Source organism: Homo sapiens, chromosome 19 (genome assembly GCF_000001405.40).
Source record: "Homo sapiens chromosome 19, GRCh38.p14 Primary Assembly".
In the NCBI taxonomy this organism is placed as follows: Eukaryota; Metazoa; Chordata; class Mammalia; order Primates; family Hominidae; genus Homo; species Homo sapiens.
Window position 1 is genome coordinate 2,746,300 of NC_000019.10, and position 24,748 is coordinate 2,771,047.

Here is a 24,748-nt window from a genome sequence, read left to right on the forward strand (position 1 = left end):
TACAGGCATGAGCCACCAAGCCCAGCCAATTATTTTGTGTGTGTAGAGACAGACTCTTCCCATGTTGCTCAGGCTGGTCTTGAACTCCTGGATTCAAGCAATCCATCCGCCTCAGCCTCCCAAATAGCTGGGACTATAGGTGCGTATCACCACACCTGGCTAACACTTGTTTTTCAGGTCCTTCAACTTGAGCTATCCTGGTGTAGTTGTTTGCTACTATGGTTTTTTTGTTTGTTACTATGGTTTTTTTGTTTGTTTGTTTGTTTGTTTTTTGAGATGGAGTCTCACTCTGTCGCCCAGGCTGGAGTGCAGTGGTGGGATCTCAGCTCACTGCAACCTCCGCCTCCCAGGTTCACTCCATTCCCCTGCCTCAGCCTCTCGAGTAGCTGGGACTACAGGTGCCTGCCACCACGCCCGGCTAATTTTTTGTATTTTAGTAGAGATGAGGTTTCACCGTGTTAGCCAGGATGGTCTCGATCTCCTGACCTCGTGATCCGCCCACCTCGGCCTCCCAAAGTGCTGGGATTACAGGCGTGAGCCACCGCGCCCGGCGGCTACTATGGATTTAGTTAGTGTTCTCCTGATGTCTAATGACATTGAGCTCTTTTCCTCATACTTATGGGCCATTTGCCTATCCTGTTTTTTGGAATGTCTAAGTGTTTTGCCCATTAAGAGAATTGGGTCATCTCTCTTCTCACTGATTTGTAGGAGTACTTGATATTTTTATAAAGTACATATTGCAAATGTCTTCACCCACTCAATGGCTCAATTTATCCCTCTATTTTGATGGCATCATTATTTTAATGAAGTCTAATTGTTGATTAAAAAAAAAAAAACTTGGCCAGGTGCAGTGGCTCACACCTGTAATCCCAGCACTTTGGGAGGCCGAGGTGGGCGGATCACCTGAGGTTGGGAGTTCGAGACCAGCCTGACCAACATGGAGAAACCCCGTCTCTACTAAAAATACAAAATTAGCCGGGCGTGGTGGCAGGTGCCTGTAGTCCCAGCTACTTGGGAGGCTGAGGCAGGAGAATTGCTTGAACCCGGGAGGCAGAGGTTGTGGTGAGCCGAGATCTCGCCACTGCATTCCAGCCTGGGTAACAAGAGTGAAACTCTGTCTCAAAACAAAAACAAAAACAAAAACAAAAACAAAAAAAAACTTTATGGTTAGCGCTTTTTGCTTTCTAAGAAAATTTTGCCTACCCCAAAATAGACTCTATATTTTCTTCTGAAACCCTTGTGGCTTTACCTTTTGCAGATTGTATTTGTATAACTCTCAAAAACAGGCAGCACCCACCCATGGTATCAAACGCTAGGTCAGTGTCACCCTCTGGGGAGGCAGTGAGTAGCGGGAGTGTGGGGGGACTGGGAGGCAGTGAGTAGCGGGAATGTGGGGGCACTGCTTAGGTTTGGTTTCTTGGTGTAGGTGCCAATGATATGGGCGTGTTCCCCTCATGAAAATTCATCATGATGTTTGCTTCTTTTGAGACAGAGTCTCGCTCTTGTCACCCAGGCTGGAGTGCAGTGGCATGATCTCGGCTCACTGCAACCTCCGCCTCCTGGGTTCAAGCAATTCTCCTGCCTCAGCCTCCCGAGTAGCTGAGATTACAGGTACCCACCACCACGCCCGGCTAATTTTGGTATTTTTTAGTAGAAATGGGGTTTCGCCATGTTAGCCAGGCTGGTCTCGAACTCCTGACCTCAGGTGATCCACCTGCCTCGGCCTCCCAAACTGCTGGGATTATAGGTGTGAGCCACAGCACCCCACCCATGATGTTTGCTTATCATTCACACTTTGGTGTAGGTATGTTACACTTGCATTAAGTCTTTAAAATGCCTGTAGTCCCAGCTACTCAGGAGGCTGAAGTAAGAGGATCACTTGAGCCCAGGAGTCCAAGGCTGCTGTGAGCTATGATGGCGCCACTGCACTCCAGCCTGGGGAACCTATCTCTTAAAGAAAAAAAGAAGAAGGAGAAGGAGAAGAAGGAGAAGCCTGGCACAGTGGCTCACACCTGTAATCCCAACTTTGGGAGGCCAAGGCGGGAGCATCGCTTAAGATCAAGAGTTTGAGACCAGCCTGGGCAACACAGCAAGACCCTATCTCTAGAAAAAAAAAGTATCCAGGCATGATGGCACATGCCTCTAGTCCTGGCTACTCAGGAGGCTGAGGGAGGATTGCTTGAGCCCAGGAGGTCGAGGCTGCGATGAGCTGTGACTGCACCACTGCTCTCCAGCCTGGAAAGAAGACACACAGAAAGAGAGACCTTGTCTCAAAAATAAATAAAAACTGGCTAAGCACAGTGGCTCACGCCTGTATTCCCAGCACTTTAGGAGGCCGAGACAGGTGGATCACCTGAGGCCAGGAGTTTGAGACCATCCTGGCCAACATGGAGAAACCCCGTCTCTACTATAAATACAAAAAAAAAAAAAAATAGCCAGACATGGTGGTGTGTGACTGTAGTCCCACCTACTCTGGAGGCTGAGACATGAGAATCACTTGAACTCAGGAGGCAGAGGTTGCAGTGAGCCAAGATCGTGGCACTGTGCTCTAGCCTGGGCGACAGAGCAAGATTCTGTCTCAAAAAAACAAAAATTAAAATTAAAAAATAATAAATAAGTAAATAAAAATGTATAAAGGTTGAAAAAGCACCATTAACGAAAGAGAGGGAGACAGAGGAACGGGGCTCCCCAAGTCTACCTGGGCTTGGCAAGAATTCGGGACCACCGTGAGCTGATGAGAATTTCTGGTTTCTGGTGGGCTTCGCGGGTCCTCGCGCGCCCACGCTGCCGGGCCTCATGTCTTTGACCCTGCATCCCACAGGTATCTCAGGGCCAGCCTGGCTCCCTGGTCCACTGCGTGCATCCTCTTGGCTCCATCAAAGCACGAGCACCCGGTAGGACATCCCTGCTTCGGAGGATGTTTTCTCCGTGTCATTCTGAAAGGAGACCCGATTCTAAGAGCAAAACTCTAGCAGCAGGGCGGTCCCTAGGCTCTGGCCCAGGTGGCTGCAGAAGGAGCCACGCCTTGTCGATCACAGCCCTGGCAGCTGCGGACGCACGTGGGTGCCCGCGGGAGAGGCCGTGGCTGCCGCGCCCCCTGGCGGCTCCGTGCGGAATCGCCCCGGCTCCCCATTTCCGAGACCACATCCCGGATGCTTGGACTCCAATCCAATGTTAATTTTTTATTATTTAGTTATTTATTTAGAGACGGAGTCTCACTCTGTCGCCCAGGCTGGAGTGCAGTGGCACAATCTCGGCTCACTGCAACCTCTAACTCCCGAGTTCAAGCGATTCTCCTGTCTCAGCCTCCTGAGTAGCTGGGATTACAGGTGTGCACCACCACACCTGGCTAATTTCGTATTTTTAGAGATGGGGTTTCTCCATGTTGGTGAAGCTGGCCTCGAACTCCTGGCCTGAGGTGATCCTCCCGCCTCGGCCTTCCAAAGTGCTGGGATGACAGGCGTGAGCCACTGCGCCCGGCCTTTTTATTATTTATTTTATTATTTTTAATTTTATTATTTTATTTGAGACAGTCTCACTCTGTCGCCCAGGCTGGAGTGCAATGGTGTGATCTCGGCTCACTGCAACCTCCGCCTTCCAGTTCAAGCGATTCTCCTTCCTCAGCCTCCCGAGGAACTGTGATTACAGGCACCTGCCACCACACCCAGCTAATTTTTGTATTTTTAGTAGAGATGGGGTTTCACCATGTTGACCAGGTTCATCTTGATACCATAGTAAAGCAGGAGGAAGGAAGGGAGGACCCATGTACCCCTGAATCTAAAATTTAAAAACAGGCCGGCGCGGCAGCTCACCCCTGTAATCCCAGAAATTTGGGAGGCCGAGGTGGGTGGATCACTAGAGGTGAGGAGTTCGAGACCAACCTGGCCAACGTGGCAAAACCCCATCTCTACTAAAAATACAAAAAAATTAGCCGGGCATGGTGGTACATGCCTGTAATCCCAGCTACTGTGGAGGCTGAGGCAGGAGAATTGCTTGAATCCAGGAGGTTGAGCCTGCAGTGAGCTGAGATCGCCCCACTGCACTCCAGCCTGGGTGACAGAGCGTGACTCTGTCTCAAAAAATAAATAAAATTTAAAAATAATAACTAAAATTAGCTGGGCGTGGTGTCCATGCTTGTAGTCCCAGCTACTTGAAAGGCTGAGGTGGGAGGATCGCTTGAGCCCAGGAGGTTGAGGCTACAGTGAGCTATGCTCACGGTGCTACACTCCAGCCTGGGCAACAGAGCCAGACCCTGTCTCTAAAAAGAATAATTTGACCTAAGATATTTTTGCAAGATGGAGAACAGGATGGGGAAGGTCACTTTGTTTTAGGTTTTCAAGTTACTCAGTTTGGGGTGAAATGTTTTCCTTCAAAGATACCGGGACATTCCAGAGTCAGTGACAAATTATTTTTCCTAATGGCAAAACGGTTTGGGACATGGATTTGACACATTTATCTAGAGAGTACCATGTGTCTGGGCTTCTCCTCCTCTGTACTGTGGACATTTGGGGCTGAATTATTCTGTGGGGTGGGGCCATCTTGGGCACTGCAGGGTGCTGAGCAGCGTCTCTGGCCTCCACCCACTCAATGCCAGGCGCACCCCCCAGTTGTGACAACCACAGATGTCCGCAGACATCGCCCTGTGTCCCGGGGAGGACAACTGCGCCCGTTGAGAAGCACCAATTCTGCAAAAGAGAAAAACACTATTTGTTTCCTCCTCGTGGCTTCCTGGGACTTACCCTGGAGGGGTTTGCAACATAGTCCCTGCTGGGTCAGGCTTTGTAGGAACTGCACCCCAAGCGTACAGAGAAGCAGAGGGCAGAGCCTTCCTAATTCCACGATTACACCTGGAGGTTCAACCTACTCCTGGAGCCCTGAGTCACGACTTACATGAAACCCAAGTTTAATTACCGCTTCTTTGCTCTGCGCATCTCTGACAGGAATATTCAGAACTACCCTATTTCAAACTTGTGTGGGATCAAGCAGCCATTATCTATGACACGCTTCTCATCAAGTCGCGCAGAGAAGCCACTGGTTCTGGGATGAGATGACAGCTCCCCCTCGCCACCCCTCCTCTTCTCCACCCCTTGGTGATTCCAAAACAAACTTTCTGGAGGTCTCTCAAAGGCTTGGGCTGGGTTTGGGGTCAACTGGGAAGAGACTGTGCAGGCTTTCCTGGTGATGGACACGAGATGGGAGGAAATGAGCCGAGGTCGTCTACGAAGACTGAAGAGCGTGCCGGCTGCGGCTGGGATACACGGCTCCTGCAACAGTGTCCACAGGTGTTTCCGGGAGTGGGATTCTCCAAACAGAGGCATCGCGATCACCTGGGCTGCTTGTCTACAGTGCAGATCCGGCCCGGCGCGGTGGCTCACGCCTGTCATCCCAGCACTCTGGGAGGCCAAGGCGGGTGGATCACCTGAGGTCAAGAGTTCAAGACCCGCCTGGCCAACATGGTGAAACCCCCATCTCTACCCAAAATGCAAAAATTAGCTGGGCGTGGCGGCGGGCACCTGTAATTCCAGCTACTGGGGAGGCTGAGGCAGGAGAATCACTTGAACCCAGGAGGCAGAGGTTGCAGTGAGTCAAGATGGCACCACTGCACTCCAGCCTGGGCGACAGAGTGAGACTCTATCTCAAAAGAAAAAAAAAAAATGTAGGCCGGGCGCGGTGGCTCACACCTGTAATCCCAGCACTTTGGGAGGCCGAGGCAGGTGGATCACGAGGTCAGGAGATCGAGACCATCCTCACTAACACGGTGAAACCCCGTCTCTACTAAAAATACAAAAAATTAGCCGGGCTTGGTGGCGGGCGCCTGTGGTCCCAGCTACTCGGGAGGCTGAGGCAGGAGAAGGGCATGAACCCAGGAGGCGGAGCTTGCCGTGAGCGGAGATCGCACCACTGCACTCCAGCCTGGGCGACAAAGCCAGACTCCGTTTCCAAAAAAAAAAAAAAAAAAAATGTAGATACATGTGGGTGGGCCCCAGTTGTGTGTTCATCAAGCTCTCTGGGTGACTCTTGACACCCACCAAACTTTAAGACCCAGTGGTCCATCTCTGTCCTGCTTCGGGCATGAGCCACCAAGCCCGGCCCTGACTTATTTTTAATTTTTCGAGACAGGGTCTTGCTCTTTTGCCCAGGCTGGAGTGCAGTGCTGTGATCATGGCTCACTACAACCTCAAACTCCCAGGCTCCAGTGATCCTCCTGCCTCAGCCTCCTGAGGAGCTGGGACTACAGGTGAGCACCACCGTGTCTGGCTAATTTTTTTTTTGGTACAGATGGAGGCTCACCATCTTATTTTTTGTTTTTCAGACGGAGTTTCGCTCTTGTTGCCCAGGCTGGAGTACAGTGGTGCGATCTTGTCTCACTGCATCCTCCGCCTCCCAGGTTCAAGCGATTCTCCTGCCTCAGCCTCCCGAGTAGCTGAGGTTACAGGCTTGCGCCACCACGCCCAGCTAATTTTTGTATTTTTAGTAGAGACAGGGTTTCACCATGTTGGCCAGGCTAGTCTTGAACTCCTGACCTCAGGTGATCCGTCCGCCTTGGCCTCCCAAAGTGCTGGGATTGCAGGTGTGAGCCAGGGCGCCTGGCCTGGAGTGTCTGATTTAGGCCTGGGGTGAGGCCCAAGACTTGGTGTTTCTACTGTGCCCCCAGGCCACGCTGCTGCTGCTGAGCTGAGGACAGTCTAAAATGCATCCAGGGTTCCCCTTCTACCGCCCCGGCTCTGTGGACACTGGGGCCAGATCATTCTCTGGAGGGGGCCGTCCTGGGCCCTGCAGTGTGCTAAGCAGCAACCCTGGCCTCCACCCCCACCATTGCAACAACCACTCACGTCCCCAGATGCTGCCCAGCTAAGTGTGCCCCGGGGGAAGAGCCACCCAGGTGAGAAGCTCTGCCTGAGACCTGAAGCGCCCACCTGCCTCCCACAGCCAGGCCCCTTCAGCACTAGACCCAGCAACCCTGGGGTGGCTGTTCTTTGAATTTTGTGACTTTTTGGTGTGTCATTTTTGGGAGATGACAGAGGTAGTGGCTGAACCTGAAACTTCGCCCCTGCAGATCTCGGTTCTTCCTGCTATTGCAGGGGTGGAGAAGGTGGGTGCTTGAGCCAGGGTCCTGAGCCAGAGTCCCTGCCAGGGCTCCGCCAGGTTCAGACGCTCACGGGTGGGGTGACCTCGGGCCTGATAGCCAGGCCTCGGTTTCTCTGTCTCTAGCATGAGGGTGCCGGTGCCCAACCTTGGCTTGTGGGAAACAGGAATTCACAGTCCACGAAAGCTTAGAGGACTTTCAGGGAGTTGTTCTTTCATTTTTATGTTTTTGAGACGTAGTCTCGCTCTGTTCCCCAGGCTGGAGGGCAATGGTGCTATCTCAGCTCACAGCAACCTCCGTCTCCTGGGTTCCAGCGATTCTCCTGCCTCTGCCTCCTGAGTAGCTGGGATTACAGGCACCTGCCACCATGCCCGCCAATCTTTTTTTGTATTTGTAGTAGAGATGGAGTTTCATCATGTTGGCCAGGCTGGTCTTGAACTCCTGACCTCAAGTGATCCACCCGCCTCAGCCTCCCAAAGTCCTGGGATGACAGGCTTGAGCCACCACACCTGGCCAAGGGAGCAGCTTCTATGTTCACAACAAAACTCTGTGCAGCACCCTAGGGTTGGGGCTGAGATGGGCCTGGAAGCTTTCTGGGCTCCTTCTTGCCTGGGACTCCCTCACTGACCCATTCTCTCAACTGGAGCCGTTGTGAAAGGGAGGTGCCTTTGGTTACAGAATACAGAATTTATGGAGTTACAGTATGCTAGAAAAGCAACAGACAAAGCCAGGTGCGGTGGCTCACGCCTGTAATCCCTGCACTTTGGAAGGCTGAGGCAAATCACCTGAGGTTGGGAGTTTGAGACCAGCCTGACCAACATGGAGAAACCTCGTCTCTACTACAAATACAAAAAATTAGCTGGGCGTGGTGGTGCATGCCTGTAATCCCAGCTACTTGGAAGGCTGACGCAGGAGAATCACTTGAACCCGGGAGGTGGAGGTTGAGGTGAGCCGAGATTGCGCCATTGCACTCCAGCCTGGGCATCTAGGGTGAAAGTCTCAAAAAAAAAAAAAAAGCAAAGCAAAGCAACAGACAATACGATCACTCTCTGCTGAGGACCGAGGCATCTCACCCCACCCTGGGGTGACCCTCTACACCGGGATGCAGCTGGGGACGGAGGCGGAGGGAAGGGAGACAGCAGAGGGTAGAGGCTGACTGTCCGAAACCTCCCATGACCCGTGACCCGTGACCCAAGAAGTGCGGCTCCGGCGTCGCGGGGATTCACTCACAAGCAGCCCAGCTGATCCACAAACTCCGCGTCGGGGGTTTTCTCGAGGTTTGGGGTTGGAGGGTATCGGTGGCGCCAAGGTCAACACGAAGACAGACAGAGGTCACAACGCCTATTTATTCCCCACACGTCACGCCCTGCACCCCGGGTGGGCTTGGCACACACCTCACCGCCATGAGCGGCTGCAGGGCCGCGGCGGCCCCCGTTCCTACTGCTACCTACGATACACGGTACTGCGCCTACCTCACAGACGGCCAGGAGCCAGGGAGCCCCAGGATGCTCCGACTGACAACCCTGCTGCTGGGACCACGGCGCCGTGGGCTCGTCTGCCACCCCCAGGCCTCAGGAACCCAGACAGGCTGCCTGCTGTCCGGCTCTCCGGCTGCTTTCCTGGTGGCTGTTTTAGGGCCAAGGTGGGTGGCACCTGAGGTGTCCCGTGGCCTCCACCCAGCACAGGAGGGGTAAGCTTCCCTGGGGGGCCCCGGGCCCATGAAACATCCAGGACAGAAGGACAGCAGGATGGGACACAGACAGAAACGGCCCAGCTGCCTTCCCTGTGCCCGGGGCTAAGGCGGCCGGGACAGAAGGTCATGATGTCGCCCCTGGCTCTCAGTCGCGAGGACCAGAAAATGAGGGTGGGAGGAGGGGAAACATGTCTGTCAACATGCCCAACTGGAGAAAAGTCACAGAAACTGGTCCTATGCACCCAGGACGGCTCCTGAGCCGCGGAGGCGTGGGGTGACCGCAGCCGTCTCTTAGGTGTCTGCCACTAAAGAGTTCCTCATGCAAACACACATGGCCCGCGGTGCCCAGGCCGCAGCTGGCAGTGAGCTCTTCCGAGCAGGCACAGGGCCGGGGTGGCCGGGAGGTCGACTCGGAAAGAGGCTTCTCACAGACGGGAGAGTTCCTGCAGACAGACCACGGGATGGGGGGCGGGGGCTGTAAAAGGCTTTGGAAGCCACACGATCCGCCACACGGCTGAACGTGAAACCTGCCACTTCTCTGAGAGCGGCCCGGGAGCACCCCAGGATTCTAGAAAACACTCAAGTGACCGAGCTTTCTGGGGGCTGGAAGGGAGGTCGCTGCTGGTCTGTGCTCAGCTTGCTGGCTCTCGTTTCAAGAAGGGTCTGGGGGCTGTAAGGGAGTTACAAAAAGGGAGTGGAGGAGGGCAGAGATAAAAGGGGAAAATCCATCTTGACATGCAGGTCCGAGGTCTCTCTCTTCCCCTCTCTCAGGCAGTCCAACAGGAGGAAGTGGCAGACAACCAGAAGGCTTCCTTCGGGTCGGCCAGGGAAGGACGCGGTCACACCGGGAGCAGCTGGAAGGGGACAGACATGAAGGCTGTCAGAGCGCAGGTGGGGACCAAGGCTGCACCACACACTCCAGGCAGCAGGAGAGGCCCAGAGTGGACAGCCAGGGGCCACAGCGGCTATTTCAACGAACGTCAGAGCCACAGCTGCACCAGAAGCGTTCCACACACTCGGGGCCACGTGTGGCTGGTGGCGCAGAGAACATCGCCATGACCTAGAAGGGTCTACAGTATGGTGGTACTTTGTGTATGAGGTTACGGTGGTAAAAAATCCACCTCAACTATTAAAAAAAGAAAAGGAAAAATAAATAAAAGCTTATTTAAAAAAAAAAGGGAAGACTGGAAGAAAAGGCGGCCAAAATATTAATGTTGGTGGCTCTGGGTGAGAAGATTAAGGTTGGGCTGAATGCACGGCTCACACTTTGGGAGGCCGAGGCGGGAGGATCGCTTGAGCCCAGGAGGTTGAGGCTGCAGTGAGACGTGACTGCACCACTGCCCTCCAGCCGGGGGGACAGAGCAGGACGGTCTCAAAAAAAAAAAAAAAAGATTAAGATTGTTCTTGCTGCTTTTTAACATTTTTGTATTTTAAATTTGTCTACAGTAATTATGGTTTAAAAATGAAAGAGAGTGTATATGAGGAGGGGACAACGACAAAATGAAGAGGCCACATGGGAGCAGAATGGAAACACCTCTGGGGAGGCCCGGAGCCTCCCGCCCCCAGGGAGCCGGCGTCTGCTGGAGACAGACAGGACTGAACTCAGGGGAGCCTCCCACCCCTGGGAAGCCGGTGTCTGCTGGAGACGGACAGGACTGAACTCAGGGGCCCCTGGGGAAGGAAACCAAGCCAGCCACGGGCCCCTGGAACCCATGGGGGACACTGAGTGTATTTTTAAACAACTGTAAGTGCAACACCTGCTCACAGTGAGAAAAGGACAAAAAATCCCTCACAAAATGCAGGCAGAACGCTCGGGCGCAGTCAAAGGCAGGTACCCGGCTTGTCCTTTCCACCACTCGATGACCTCGCCCCCACCCCCGAGGTGGCAGCCCCGACACTGCAGAAACAAAGAGCTTCTGCAGGCGGCCTTAGGCAGGGGGGACCCCAGACACCAGCCCTTCCAGGGAGCTGTGGCTCTCCCCTAATCTCCACCCAGCGCCGATCCACAGATGGGAAAGGAGTGGGGAGCAGGACTTGGTGGCCACCTGGAAAGGGGCCCAATGCCCAGAGATGCCCCCACCTGCCTGGGCGGTTCAGGGTGATCTTCTGAGCTGGATGCACCCAGGACTCGCTGTCCAGTGTCCAGACAGGCTCCACAGCCCCCGGGCGTCACTCCTGCTGGCTGCCCTCACTGCCAGGCACTCACGTGGTGTCACTCCTGCTGGCCACCCCCCAGCCCCCGGCCCCATGCACTCACGCAGCGTCACTCCTGCTGGTCGTCGTTGCTGGCGCTGGGCGTCCGACTCCGGATCTGGCTCCTGAGCTGCTCTATCAACTCTGGGTTCTGCTGCTGCATCTGCTGGGCAAACTGCTGGCCCCTGCGGGGAAGGGCACATGGGGCTCAGCCAGGGCCAGGAGGCTGCCTGCTGCCTCCGTCCATCCCCAGCTGACCCCTCGGGCCCTCCACCCCAAAGACAGGCCTGACCCCTCGCTGGAGGACGCTGGGCCCTTCGGAGCAGGGGACGCAGCACTTTCGCTCTCCTCCTTCCCTTCCGCCTGCGAGCCCTGCCCGCCGCCCACGTCCTCCGTCCTCTTGGAAGCAGTTCCACTCACGCCTGGATGAGGCTGGCCAGGTCGTTCTGCGAGGGGCTGGTGCCGGGAGTTCCCAAGGGGTTGTTGCCACCCGAAATCATGCCGGACATGCTGCAGGAGAGAGCGCGTGACTCGCAGCCGGGACAGCCTGACCGCCACCCCCACTGCAGGCCCTCGCAGTGGCCCGGGAGAGAATCCCTCTCAGCCCTTCACCTTCCCCTGCAGGAGAGGATTCTCTCTCACCACCTGGTGGGCCTCCAGGGCCCAAACCCACCCTGTGACTTTCACCTGCTTTCCCAGAACACCCCTCTTTCTTTGGCCTAAAGAGCGTAGTTCTCAGCCAGGGGGTGATCCTGCCCCCAGAGGACCCCTGCAATGGCAGCGGACATTTGCAACAGCCATGATTGGGTTACGCCAAGACAGGGGCAGGGGGTGCTCCTGGCATGGAGTGGATGGAGGCTAGAGACAGTGCTCAGCACCCTGCAGTGCCCAGGACGGCCCTGCTCCAGAAACTGGTCCAGCTCAAATGGCCACGGTGCTGTGGCTGGGAAACCATGCTTTAAGATTTGACCGTGGGCCAGCCGCGGTGGCTCACACCTGTCATCCCTGCACTTTGGGAGGCTGAGGCGGGTGGATCACCTGAGGTCAGGAGTTCAAGACCAGCCTGGCCAACATGGTGAAACCCCATCTCTACTAAAAATGCAAAAATCAGCCGGGCATGGTGGTGGATGCCTGTAATTCCAGCTACTTGGGAAGACCCACTTGATCCCGGGAGGCAGAGGTTGCAGTGAGCCAAGATTCTGCCACTGCACTCCAGCCTGGGTGACAGAGCAAGATTCTGTCTCAAAAAAAAAAAAAGGAGAAAGAAAAAAAGATTTCACCATGAAAACAGGTGAGCAGCTCCCCAGTGCGCACAGCGCTTACTGGGGAGTGACCCTATGAGCCAGCGAGTGCACTCAGAAGTTTATATCCAAGAGAAACGAAAACAGGATTCACACAGACGATTGCACACCCGTGCTCAAGCAGCACCGTTCACAACAGACAAAAGGTAGAAACAGCCCAAATGTCCATGGATAGATGTGTGGATCAGCACAGCGTGGTCCCTCCACACTGGAATATTACTCAGCCATGAAAAGGAGCGAGGCCCTGACCCAGGCCCCAGCACACATGCACCTTGAGGACGTCACGCTCAGTGAGAGACGCCAGACACCAAAGTTCACGCAGTGTGTGATCCCATTTCTACGAAATGTCCAGGACAGGCCCATCCACAGAGACAGGAAGGGGATGCGTGGTTGTCAGGGGATAGGAGAGGGGTTGGGGAGTGACAGCTGAGGGGGAAGGGGCTTCTTTCGGAGGTGATGAAGATGGGTTGGTGCTCAATGGTGGTGACAGTTGCATGACAGTGTGATGGTGGTGACAGTTGCATGACAGTGTGATAGTGGTGACAGTTGCATGACAGTGTGAAAGTCCTTAATGCCATTAAGTTGCACACTTTAAAGTGGTTAGTTTTATGTTAAGTGAATTTACCCACAATAAAAGGAAATTTAACCACAACAAGACCCGAAGAAACCCGGTTGTCACTTACAGCTGCTGAATCTGGGGATTGTTCATTAGGTTCGAAGCCTGAAGAACAGAACAAATTTGTCAGGAAGACAAAGCTCCCAGCGCATCATTCTCTTTCATCAGACACTTTCCATCTTAACCAGCCTTGGTTCTGGACTCCAGCACGCCAACCAACAGTAAGAGCCGGGCATTCGGTCTTTCATACCCTTTTCCCTACATTTTCGCCCCCCCACCCACGAGCTGTGACCTCCACATTGTGACTTAAATCCTGTTTTGGGTTCCTGCTTCAGGAGCGATCTCGCAGCGCCACAGCGCTCTCTCACTGGCTGCTGCGGTTTTGCTGTGTGGAGGCGTTTTGGTTCTTTATTTTAGCTGCTGTCTGCTTTAGCATATTTCATTTAGCATATTTGGTTCCAGTTTTGCTCTATCAATAAATAGCACTGTGGCTGGGCGCGGTGGTTCACGCCTGGAATCCCAGCACTTTAGGAGGCCGAGGCAGGCAGATCGCTTGAGGTCAGGAGTTCGAGACCAGCCTAACCAACATGGTGAAACCCCGTCTCTACTAAAAATATGAAATTAGCCAGGTGTGGTGGTGCATGCCTGTAGTCCCAGCTACTTGGGAAACTGAGGCACAAGAATCGCCTGAACCTGGGAGGGGGAGGTTGCAGTGAGCCGAGATCACACCGCTGCACTCCAGCCTGGGTGACAGAGTGAGACTCTGTCTCAAAAAAGAAGTAAAAATAAATAAATAAATAAATAGCACTATACTGGGCACTTTCTCATGTTAACTTTCCACTTGGGATTATTCCTTTGGACCTGTTGAAAGGAGGTGGCTCAGAGGTGTGGCAAACTCTCTGTGTAAAGGGCCAGTGTGTAAATACTCTCAGCCTTTTCAGACACGGGTGCCTGACGCAACTACTCAGCTCTGCCGCCGTATCATGAAAGCCACCAGTGACACTAGGTGTATGAATGGGCATGGCTGTGTGCCAATAAAACTTTATTGGTCAGGTGTAGTGGCTCACACCTGTAATCCCAGCACTTTGGGGGGCCGAGGCGGGTGGATCACAAGGTCAGGAGTTCGAGACCAGCCTGGCAAACATGGTGAAACCCCATTTCTATTAAAAAATACCAAAATTAGCCAGGCATGGTGGTGGGCACCTGTAATCCCAGCTACTCGGGAGGCTGACGCAGGAGAATCGCTTGAACCTGGGAGGCGGAGGTTGCAGTGAGCTGAGATCACACCACTGCACTCCAACCTGGGCGACAGAGCGAGACTCCATCTCAAAAAAAAAAAAAAAAAAAAAAACCAAAAAAAACTTTATTAACAAAACCCAGCGGCGGGCCTTATTCTGCCAACCCCAGATGTCTGAAGGGAAAAGGCGTCTGTGACATGGCCAAGCTGAGAGGCCCCTTGAAAGACTGGGGCCCAGTCACCCTCCATCCCATGGTGAGGGAGAACATATTCCCCTGGCAGCTTGGCCAGCGGACGAGGGCTACAGTAAGAGGTGTGGCCTCTGCTGAATGGCACGACCCGGGCAGGGCTCCTGGCCCAGCTGGCTCATTTTTCTGACTGACAGTGAGACTGAGGGCTTTTCTCCCCGACAGCCTTAGGCGAGTCCCTGTACCCTGAGGCTGTGGGAGCCTGAAGAGTGGTCCCAGGGCACACAGACCTCCCAGGAAATGAACATGTGTGTGTGGGGGATGGCTCTCCGAGGATCCCAGTCAAGGAACTCCCTGCCAAAGGCCGTCCCTTTGGAAGCATGAGTGCCCGGGCATCGGGAGGTCCACCTGCGCCCGGCGCACCCGGCGCTCTGCTTCCCTTGCCTGAACCTTAGGAGGCAGACGCTGCTGTGTTGTGATCAGTGTCTCTGCACTGCGAGGAGGAGCCCACGCCAGGGTGGGGTGGGGGTGTGACCTCCCTGGGCTCAGCCAGGAGAGCCAGCTTTTGGTGCTCACTACTGATGGGTCTTGCTTGGGACATCAACATTGGGGACACTTTTGATTGTCGAAGCAGAGGGTGGGGGTGCTCCTGACATGGGGCGGGTGAGGCCAGGGGTGCTGCCAGCGCCCTGCGGTGCCCAGGACGACCCCACAGACAAGACCCATCTGGTTCCAGAAGCCAGCAGTGCCAAGGCAAGGAAGCCCTGGCCAGTAGCGGACACAGCAGATGCGGGCCTGGGGGGTGGCGCAGACACCATGGACAGGGAGGAGGGGCGGGCCGTTACCATGCTCATGAAGCCAGGGTTGTTCAGCAGGCCGGCGATGTCGAAGCTGCCCACGCCTCCCGTCTGAGGATGAGAACAGCCCTGGTTAGTGGGGCCTGGACCAGAGGCCACGGTGAATAACCCCCTGGAACTCAGAAACAACGGCCCCCCACGGGGCTCAGACATTCTATCAACCCTGCGGCCAGAGGGTGCTTTGAGGCAGGCAGCACGAAGCACATCGCAACCGCCCGGGGACGGCACAGTCTGTCATCCCGTGTTTATTCCCCGCACAGCGCGACCGCCCGGGGACGGCACAGTCTATCATCCCGTGTTTATTCCCCGCACAGCGCGACCGCCCGGGGACGGCACAGTCTATCATCCCGTGTTTATTCCCCGCACAGCGCGACCGCCCGGGGACGGCACAGTCTATCATCCCGTGTTTATTCCCCGTACAGCGCGACCGCCCGGGGACGGCACAGTCTATCATCCCGTGTTGATTTCCTGTATTCTGCCGCTTTGACACCTTGGGGCCTTGCTGGCCTGGCAGAGCCGCCCCCTCCTGGAGTAGCCAATTCCCAGAGAAAGCAAATGACTCACCCAGAAACGCACCTTTGAAATACAAACAAACTAACCCAGAACCCACACCCTCAGCACCTCCCCCATCACCCCAGGGCCACAGTCCACCTGCCCCACTCACCCCCAGGCCAGGGACCAGGCAACCAGGGGCAGCCCCCAGGCCTGGGTCTAATGAAATGGCTCCAACCAGCCAACCCGAAGCCTCCTCACCCGGCCTCGCCACAAAACCCACATCGAGGGTCCTTTCTGTGCCCCTCCCTCAGCCTCCGCGGGCAGCCCTGCGGCCGGCCTCCTGCTTCCAGGGGTCTGGGGGCATGAACCTTCTCACGACACTCACTTCCACGCCTGTGCATCTCACCACCAACTGAAACAAACCCCGGACCCTCACGACACCCAGGTTAAGCCTAGAGCCACTGGTGCGCCCGAGGACCTGTCCCCCACCCACACAGTCAGCTCGGCGTTCTGGAGCCACTCGCCCCCGCTGCACTCACGGGGCTGGGGGCCTCCCGCAGCTTCAGCTCCGCTATCTTGAGGTTGGACTTGTATGTCTCGTTGTCGGGGTCCAGCTCCAGAGCCTTCTTGTAGTAAGCCACGGCCTCCACGTGCTTGTTGAGGCTGGAGAGCGCCAGGCTGGAGGAGAGCACCGGGGATGGACTGTTCCCATCTGCCCAGCTCCAGGAGGCCCCGCCAAAGCCCTCGTCCCCGGCGGTCCTGGCAACCCCCAAACCACCTCGGATGGTGCCACCCCCTGCCCGCTGTCAGCTCAGTGGAGACAAACCTGGCTTTCGAGGGGCCCAGGGGCAGGACTGAGGGAGACAGACATGAGAACACCCCTGCCACACAAGAACTGGAGTCCCCATGGGGCCACACACAGGGCCTCAAAGCCCAGAGCGGGCTGAGAGGAGGGAGCGGGCCAGCTCAGGGTCACAGGAAATGCGTGGATGTTGTCTTGGCCCCGCTTCCCGGCACAGGGCACCAAGGACCCTCGGAACCTCTGAGCGACAGACATGTCTCCCGTCATCCACAAGCAGCCCCTGACCCCCACCTGAGTGAGTCTTCACTCGTGAGGTGACTCAGGGCCCCTACAGAGCCCAGGAGGAGGCGGGTCCTGGGGAGACTGGGCAGTTGAACAGGGCCCCTCCCCAGCCTCTGGGGAGACCCAATCCCACAAACTCTGAGCAAGGGCATTCAGAGAAGCAGGCGAATGCACGCTTATGCTGGGAGGGCGGCACCGGCTGCACGGGGCGCAGGCTCCTGCCCCGGGGACCCTCCTGGCCTCACTCTCGGACCTGTCCTGTGTCCTTCATCATAAACCAGGTGCTTCCCTGAGCTCTGTGAGCCGCCCCAGCAAACAATGGAGCCTGAGTAGGAGCCATGGGAACCCCAGGTGACAGCCAGTCAGGGAGAAGCAAGGGGCCCAGGGATCTCCGGGTGGCACCTGATGCGGGGCGTCTGTGGGGCTGAGCCTGTGACCTGTAGGGACTACGTTGGCTCCGAACAGCTAGTGTCAGAGTTGAACTGAACCGGGGTGGGAGAATTCGTTGTGGGTGGGAAAAAAGCCACACAAGAGAGGAAGCAGGAGCAGGAGAGGAGGGGTCCCGAGAGACTGGAAAGGCGCGGCCGTGGACAGGCACTCACCCCATCCTGCCGTAGGCCTTGCTGTAGGCCGGGTCAATGCAGATGGCCCGCTCACAGTCCTGCACCGCGCCTGCGTAGTTGCCGAGTTTGCTGTAGGCTGCGGCTCTGGGGAAGAAAAGGCAGGGCAGGTCCCTCACTGGCGGCTCTGAGCCCAGCGGGCAGCCCTTGAGGGGAGCCTGAGAGCTGCGTTCCTCTCCAACTTCCTGGAGGAACGGCCTCAGTTTTCCCCATCTGTAAAATGGGGCTGATGGGGAAAGCTGAGAGGTGTGGCCACTGAGATGCTCTTAGACAAATGTGGGCTCAAAGCACCAGCAGCCACTCAGGACTGCGACTCTGAATTTTATTTGCAAAAAATGTTCCGATCCATGGCTGTACAAGAGCAATGAGGGTAGGGAACTTATACCCAAGTTTCATTCACAAATTATTTACATATCAGTAAAAAAAGAACTCAGACCAATGTCAAAGCTCAAAGCTCTTGGCTTACAGCGTCTGAATCGTCTTCACCATTTTCGTGTTTAGTGTTTCTCTTTACAATTTTTTCAAAGTACAGAGAAGAGTGAGTGGAGACTAAACTACCCCATGACAGGCGGCCAGGAACCCTGCACTGCCTCTGCAACTGTCCTGTAAGCCTGAAGCAGATCCAAGACCACACATTCAAAAAACACAACCCTCCACATACTGGATTATTTTCTTGGCTTGACATCCACGTGGAATGCCATGATACCTGATTTTCTATGTATGTATTTATGTATTTATTATTTTTGAAACAGGGTTTTGCTCTGCTGCCCAGGCTGGAGTGCAGTGACACGATCTCAGCTCACTGCAACCTCTGCCTCCCGGGTTCAAGTGATTTTCCTGCCTCAGCCTCCCAGGTAGCTGGGACTACAGGCACCCACCACCACATCCAGCTAATTTTTGTGGTTTTTTTCGGGGTTTTTTTGAGACAGAGTCTCCCTGTCACCCAAGATGGAGGGCAGTGGCGCAATCTTGGCTCACTGCAACCTCTGCCTCCCAGGTTCAAACCATCCTCATACCTCAGCCTCTTGAGTAACTGGTGGTGCCCACCACTACACCCGGCTAATTTTGTATTTTTAGTAAAGACGGGGTTTCACCATGTTAGCCAGGCTGGTCTTGAACTCTCAACCTCAAGTGATCCCCCCCGCCTCAGCCTCCCAAAGTGCTGGAATTACAGACGTGAGCCACCGCGCCTGGCCCCCAGACTAATTTTTACATTTTCTGTAGAGACGGGGGTCTTGATATGTTGCCCAGGCTAGTCCCGAACTCCTAGCCTCAAGTGATCTTTCCCCCATGGCCTCCCAGAGTGCTGGGCGTGCTACCTGATTTTAAATCAGCATCGACTCTCCCCGACCCCGTTGCTGGTCACCTGATGCTCGCTCCTGGTCTGAGACCACCGGTGAATGGATCCCTCATCTACAGCGCAGAGGCCTCTCCCATCTCAGGTCCCTGCTAAGCATCCCGGAGGACGCCCCCGCACCCGGCCGCCCCTGCCCTGGGCAGGCCCTGAGCTGGTACCTGTTGCAGAAATAGACGGCGTTGGCTGGGTTGAGCTCGATGGCTTTTCCGTAGAAATGCACGGCAGCTTCAAAGTTTTCCACTTTCATCTGCTCGTTTCCTACAGGGAGAGAGGAAAACACCGGCCCGGTGTCCACACAGACCGGAGGGGGTGTCAGGGAGAGAGGAAAACACCGGCCTGGTGTCCACACAGACCCGAGGGGGCGTCACACTTGGCTCTTCTGGGCAGCCAGGACTCAACACAGATGCCGGCTCAGGAGGCATCTGCATCTATAGGGGGTTCGCTAGTCGCAAACAATCATATCTACATCCACTAAGGGGGATGGAGGTGGGGGCGGCAGGGCCTGGCCTGGCCTGTGCCTGGCGACGGTGGCTGTCACTGCCTGGATGGCGACCCCGGGAGCAGAACAGTTAATACAGCTCACCGGCCCGGGGACGGAAACTGTCCCTTTCGCTATTGCTTTTGGAAAGAGCCCAAGTGGAGGCCTGTATTTTGGAATACTCATGTGATACCTTCTCATTTCATAGGCAATGGGGCTTCTATCTGAGGCATGGGTCCCAGCTGGTAGGACGGTAAAAACCCCAGCTGCTATCCTAGAACTGAGAGCCCTGAAGACAGAAACCCACTCCCGCCCCCGAGATCCCAATTCAGGAGGGCGTGGGGGGAAGATGGGTATCAGCGTGTGTTTCCCTAAACAGTTTTATTGAGATATAATTTACATGCCACAAAGCTTACGCTTTAAAAATATAAGCCCGGGCGCGGTGGCTCATGCTTATAATCCCAGCACTTTGGGAGGCCGACGCAGGCGGATCGCAAGATCAGGAGACCAAGACCATCCTGGCCAACACAGTGAAACCTGTCTCTACTAGAAATACAAAAATTAGCCGGGCGTGGTGGTAGGCTTCTGTAGTCCCAGCTACTCAGAAGGCTGAGGCAGGAGAATTGCTTGAACCAGGGAGTCAGAGGTTGCAGTGAGCCGAGATCACGCCACTGCACTCCAGCCTGGGCGACAGAGCGAGACTCCATCTCAAAAAAGAAAAAAAAGAAATGGGATCACATGCTGTGCGTCCTTTTGTGTCTGGCCTCTCTCCCTGAGTGTGATGTCTTCACGGTGCATCTGCGCTGGGGCCTGGGTCAGAGCCTCACCCATCCACATTCCACCGTGTAGATGGGCCATGCTGTGCTGACCATTTAGCGTGGACAGGCATTTAAGCTGTTTTTGCTTCTTTTTATTGTTTTATTTTTTATTTTTTATTTTTTTTTGAGACGGAGTTTCACTCTTATCGCCCAGGCTGGAGTGCAGTGGCGCGATCTGGACTCACTGCAACCTCCGCCTCCCAGGTTCAAGCAACTCTCCTGCCTCAGCCTCCTGAGTAGTTGGGATTACAGGTGCCCACCACTGCACCTGGCTAATTTTTTTGCATTTTTAGTAGAGACGGGGTTTCACCATGTTGGCCCAGGCTAGGCTTGAACTCCTGACCTCAGGCAATCTGCCCGCCTCGGCCTCCCAAAGAGCTGGGACTGCAGGTGTGAGCCACCGCGCCCGGCCTCTTCTTGCTTTTTGACTCTTGTGAATACAGCTGCTGTGAACATGTGTCTGGGTTTTGGTGGACATGTGTCTCTCTTGGGCACATATCTAGTATCAGGGTGGAACCGGCGGGTCTCATGGAAGCTGTGCAACTTTTGGGGGCCACCAGCCAGTCTTCCACAGGGGCCGCTCCCGACAACCCCACCAGCCGTGCTGTGCCTGAAGGTCAAGTTTCTCTGCACCTCGCCAGTCCCCTCGCCAGTCCCCCTTCCGTCCCCGTCCCCACAAGCCAGCGTGCTGGTCATCAGGGCAATTCCCTCAGCTCCCTGGGCCCCAGGGACCAGCTGGCCTCTGCGAGGGTCCCACAGCCCCGGAGTCCAGGTAGGGCGAGGTGTCTGTGGGGATGGAGGTCCTCCCTTACCTTCGGTTTTGAGGCGCTCTGCCTCTGCTGAGTCCTCCTCGGAAGGCGGGGTTCGCGCGGGGCTCCTCAGGTCCTGCGGCATCTCCTGGACCCGGAGGCAAAGGCGGCCCGCTGTCCTCTCCTCCCAACCTGGCACCCTCCGGCCTTAGCTTCCCTCGGGACGCCAGAGAGGGCCACCAAGTTCCGAAGGACCCGGGGGCTCTGCAGGGGACTCCTGGCCCCCCATCATGTGGCCCTGGGCGAGTGACCACAGCGCTATGTGTCTCAGGACCCGCCGATAGGGGGAGGAGGGCCAAGTGCTCCTGCAGCCACGTCCCCAGCCCAGGAGAGGATGCAGGCAGAGTGCTGGGGGACGATGAGAGCGGGGCTCCTGGGGTCCCCAGGGCTGCCTGCTGTTGCTGTTCTTATTTTGGGGGCAGTGGCTGGGGAAGCATCGAGGCTCACCTTGCCCGTGGCAGCCGCTTCAAATATCTCCGGCAGAGTCTGAGGGAGCGCAAGGTCACTGTCTTCTACCGTCACCCCAAACGCAGTCTCCAGGCACTGGATGGCGACTGAAGCGGGGACAGAGGCGGTCCCATTCATTGCACGCAGCCCCGAGGTTACGTTTTTGGGTCTAGAGGGCGGGGTTGGTGCTCATGCTTCCCCAGGTGTGTTCATTCCCAAGGACCCCAGAACGCAGGGGCCGCCGCCTGTGCTCTGGGCTGGGACAGTGGACCCTCTTCCTTCCCGAAAAGAAAAGCCAGACAGAGACGCCCCGTGCCCCTGAGAGCAGCAGAGGCCGTGGGCAGAGTGGAGCCCAGGTGGTGACCTCAGGCCTCTGTGGGGTCCCAATGCTGGGGCTGCCCGGCTGCGGCGTGGTGGGGGCTTGGCCCCACCTGGAGGGCCACGTCAGGGGTGAGGTGCCCCGGATGCTGTTGCACCTCCAAGGGCGCCTGGCCTGAGTAAGGAGCTTGAAGCCAGCCCCCAGTAGAAGGCCTGTATGACTGGGTCTGTACCAGGGCAGGACCATTGAGAGCAGGACAAGAAACAGCCACAGGGCCCCTCTCTCTGCTGGCCCACCTGACAGACTCAGCACCCAGGGGGCCCTCCCACCGAGCCAGACAACACTAGCCCTGGCCGCCTCCTCGTGTGGACCCAGGGTCCTAACCCAGGTCAGAAGTGGGGGTCAGCCACTTCCTGCCCAGCACTGTGTCAAGGACCCCGGGCACATCCCTACAGCTGTCACTGGGTGTCCATGCTACAGAGGCCTGGCAGGCCCAGGACACAGGTGAGCGAGGCATAGGTGGGGAAGGAGGACCTAGAGCAGAACCTGCAGCCACACGAGGGTGCCTCCCCGAGCCCTCCTTTCCCTCCGAGCCCCGGATCCAGGTGTCGCAGAAGCGCAAGCAAGACCAGCCAGGAGACCAAGGCACCTGGGGAGCGGACAGGCCATGCAGGATGCCAACGAGTCTGGGACTCTGGGGCGGGGCCAGCACTAGGAGAGCTTTTTCCCCGTGACCGATGGTGACACACACACACTGGGTGGTGAGAACATTCCAGAACACACCTTGGTGGAAGATGGGGAGATGGAAAAAAGCCACTGGAAGGCAGCTCAGCCTGAAGGCATCAAGCAGTGGTGGCGCCACGCAGTGGCAGGCGGGAGGGCTCAGCTCGGCCCTGGCTCCCACGGCCGGGGGCTGTGTGGCCCTGGGCAGACCCCTGCCCTCTCTGGGCTTAGCTTCCACCCCCAAAAAGCCAGGCGGGGGACCAGGCATCTACACACCAGGTGTCTACACGAGGCGACTGTGCTGGCCGCTGCCCGGGGAGAGGGGGAAGTGGCAGGCACCCACCTACCTTCCAAGCTCTCCTGAGCATCGGACGAGAGGCCCCCGTGCCGGAGCTGGTCATGCAGGAACTGGATGATGGCGTAGGCCAGGCGCTTCTTGTTGTCCATCTTGAGCCCAGAAGAGGTGATACCTGGGGGTGCAGGAAAAACCCCCATCAGGCCCCCTCACACTCCCCACTCCAGGCACCCCAGGCCTGCCCCTAACTAGCTGGGCCTCACTTTAAGGGTGCTGGCTGATCTCAGCTCCAGGACAGCCCAGGTAGAAAGGCCTTAATACGCCCATTTCACAGATGATGACCTGAGGCCCAGAGCTCACCAATCCGGCTATGCACACAGCCAGAAAGTGTGAGGCCAGCAGGCAAGCAGGGCCTGCCCTAGAGAACCCGCGTGCTCCCAGGGCCTCCTGAGCACTCCCAGGGTGGTACTGAGGCGCCACGGAGGTCCCCTCCGCCCCTGCTTCTGGCATGAGGTGGGTGGGGGCCAGGGATGCTGCCCAGCACCCTGCAGTGCCCAGGACAGCTCCACTCCAGAGAACGATCCAGCCCCAATGTCCACAGTGCTGAGAGGGAGAGACCTTGTCCTCAGCCAGAGCCACTGCCCCTTTCCTCAATTTACCTCTTTTGTGGCATGTCAGCAAGCATTTCTTAGGTACCCAACGGGGCCAGGTGTGCCTGCCCTGGTATCACTGTTTCACAGGACTTGCAGAGGACTCCCCCCAGGGACTTCTTGGGGACCCGTCTTGTTCCCCCTGGGAGGCCTACCTACCTCATTCCACCTCAGACCCCCCTCTAGTTCCCCCTCGGACACCCTCCTGTGCCCCCCTCGGACACCCGCCTGGTTCCCCCACCTGACACCCTCCTGGTTCCCCCAGCGGACACCCTCCTGGTTCCCCCAGCGGACACCAGCCTGGTTCCCCCACCGGACACCCTCCTGGTTCCCCCAGCGGACACCAGCCTGGTTCCCCCACCGGACACCCGCCTGGTTCCCCCCTCGGACACCCGCCTAGTTCCCCCCTCGGACACCCGCCTGGTTCCCCCCTCGGACACCCGCCTGTGCCCCCCTCGGACACCCGCCTGTGCCCCCCTCGGACACCCGCCTGGTTCCCCCCCGGATACCCTCCTGGATGCCCCCTCGGACACCCTCCTGGTTCCCTCTCAGAAACCCTCCTGGTTCCCCCTCGGACATCCGCCTGGTCCCCCCTCGGATACCCTGTCTTGTTCCTCATTCCCAGGACTTGACAGCTGCTTCTGCTCATGTCTGTGGTCCCTGCAGTTTCCTGCCAAAGCTCTAAAGGGTGCCAGATGGTGACATCAGGAGAGGCTGTTCTGGAATCTGGAGCTGTAGTCTATGGACAGGTCTTTTTTTAGTACAAGACCTTTCACACAGGTTTCCTGGGTGCCTGGGCCAACTTGGAGGGGCCTCGGCCACAGTGACCTTCACGGCTCTGAGCAGGAAGCCCCGACGTGAGCTTCCCCCGGGGCAGGCTGGCCGGCTGCCTTGAGGCGCCAGCTCAGGAAGGCTTGGCCTCACTGTGCCTCCATTTCCCCCGAAGGCTGGCGATGGTGACTCTAAACATTCAGATGTAACAAGCTGCGTGGAGAAGCAGCCGCCCCCGCCCCCGCCGCTGGAGCAGCCAAGTTCTGGGCTAGTCACGTCCACCTGGGACCTGAGCACGGGACCTTGTCTGTGTCTTTGCAGATGGAAACAAGTGGAGATGAGGTCGCTGTGGTGGCCCTAATGCAGGGATTGAACATGGCCGCACGGAGACGGCCGCGTGAAGACGGAGGCAGAGGCTGAGGCCATGTGGCCACACGAAGAGAGGTGAGGCTCGCTGGCCCCCAGCAGCTGGAAGAGGCAGGACGGAGCCTCCCTTGGGGCCTTCAGAGGGAACGTGGCCCAGCCTGCACCTTCATCTCAGACTTCTGGCCTCCAGAACTGCGAGGGAAATCAATCTTGGTTGTTTTAAGCCAGCCGGGTTGTGAGGGAGAGGCCAGGCGGTTCCCGGATCGTGGCCTGCAAAGCCTGTGAGCTCGGACGGGTTGTTCGGCCTGAGCCTCCGCCTCCATGTCTGTAAAATGGGGAGCTCC

At 56.6% G+C, this 24,748-nt stretch overlaps 1 protein-coding gene across 2 annotated transcripts in view, besides 3 other annotated features; it reads right to left on the reverse strand.

Annotated features, from left to right (window-relative positions):
- Positions 3,057-3,126: a silencer, noted in NCBI's record as "silent region_9806". NCBI's record gives its function as "represses an Ori minimal core promoter by ATAC-STARR-seq in GM12878 lymphoblastoid cells {active_cell/tissue: GM12878}" and the evidence as "EXISTENCE:reporter gene assay evidence [ECO:0000049][PMID:35858748]".
- Positions 3,137-3,186: a silencer, noted in NCBI's record as "silent region_9807". NCBI's record gives its function as "represses an Ori minimal core promoter by ATAC-STARR-seq in GM12878 lymphoblastoid cells {active_cell/tissue: GM12878}" and the evidence as "EXISTENCE:reporter gene assay evidence [ECO:0000049][PMID:35858748]".
- The window catches only part of SGTA (small glutamine rich tetratricopeptide repeat co-chaperone alpha), a 28,559-nt gene continuing 12,226 nt past the window's right edge, over positions 8,416-24,748 (reverse strand). For both annotated transcript variants that reach the window (NM_003021.4, XM_011528178.4), the window contains 11 exons: positions 22,670-22,792; positions 21,281-21,387; positions 20,837-20,921; positions 18,887-18,986; positions 17,354-17,458; positions 16,207-16,345; positions 15,161-15,223; positions 12,958-12,995; positions 11,394-11,483; positions 11,038-11,158; positions 8,416-9,634 (listed from right to left, as the gene is read on the reverse strand). In NM_003021.4, the coding sequence (NP_003012.1) occupies positions 11,044-11,158; positions 11,394-11,483; positions 12,958-12,995; positions 15,161-15,223; positions 16,207-16,345; positions 17,354-17,458; positions 18,887-18,986; positions 20,837-20,921; positions 21,281-21,387; positions 22,670-22,769 (942 nt within the window). In that variant the 5' untranslated portion in view covers positions 22,770-22,792 and the 3' untranslated portion in view covers positions 8,416-9,634; positions 11,038-11,043. The remainder of the gene's footprint in view (positions 9,635-11,037; positions 11,159-11,393; positions 11,484-12,957; positions 12,996-15,160; positions 15,224-16,206; positions 16,346-17,353; positions 17,459-18,886; positions 18,987-20,836; positions 20,922-21,280; positions 21,388-22,669; positions 22,793-24,748) is intronic.
- Positions 22,466-22,966: an enhancer, noted in NCBI's record as "H3K4me1 hESC enhancer chr19:2768763-2769263 (GRCh37/hg19 assembly coordinates)". NCBI's record gives its function as "activates a minimal SCP1, AML or CMV promoter by ChIP-STARR-seq in naive H9 embryonic stem cells {active_cell/tissue: H9 hESC(naive)}" and the evidence as "EXISTENCE:reporter gene assay evidence [ECO:0000049][PMID:30033119]".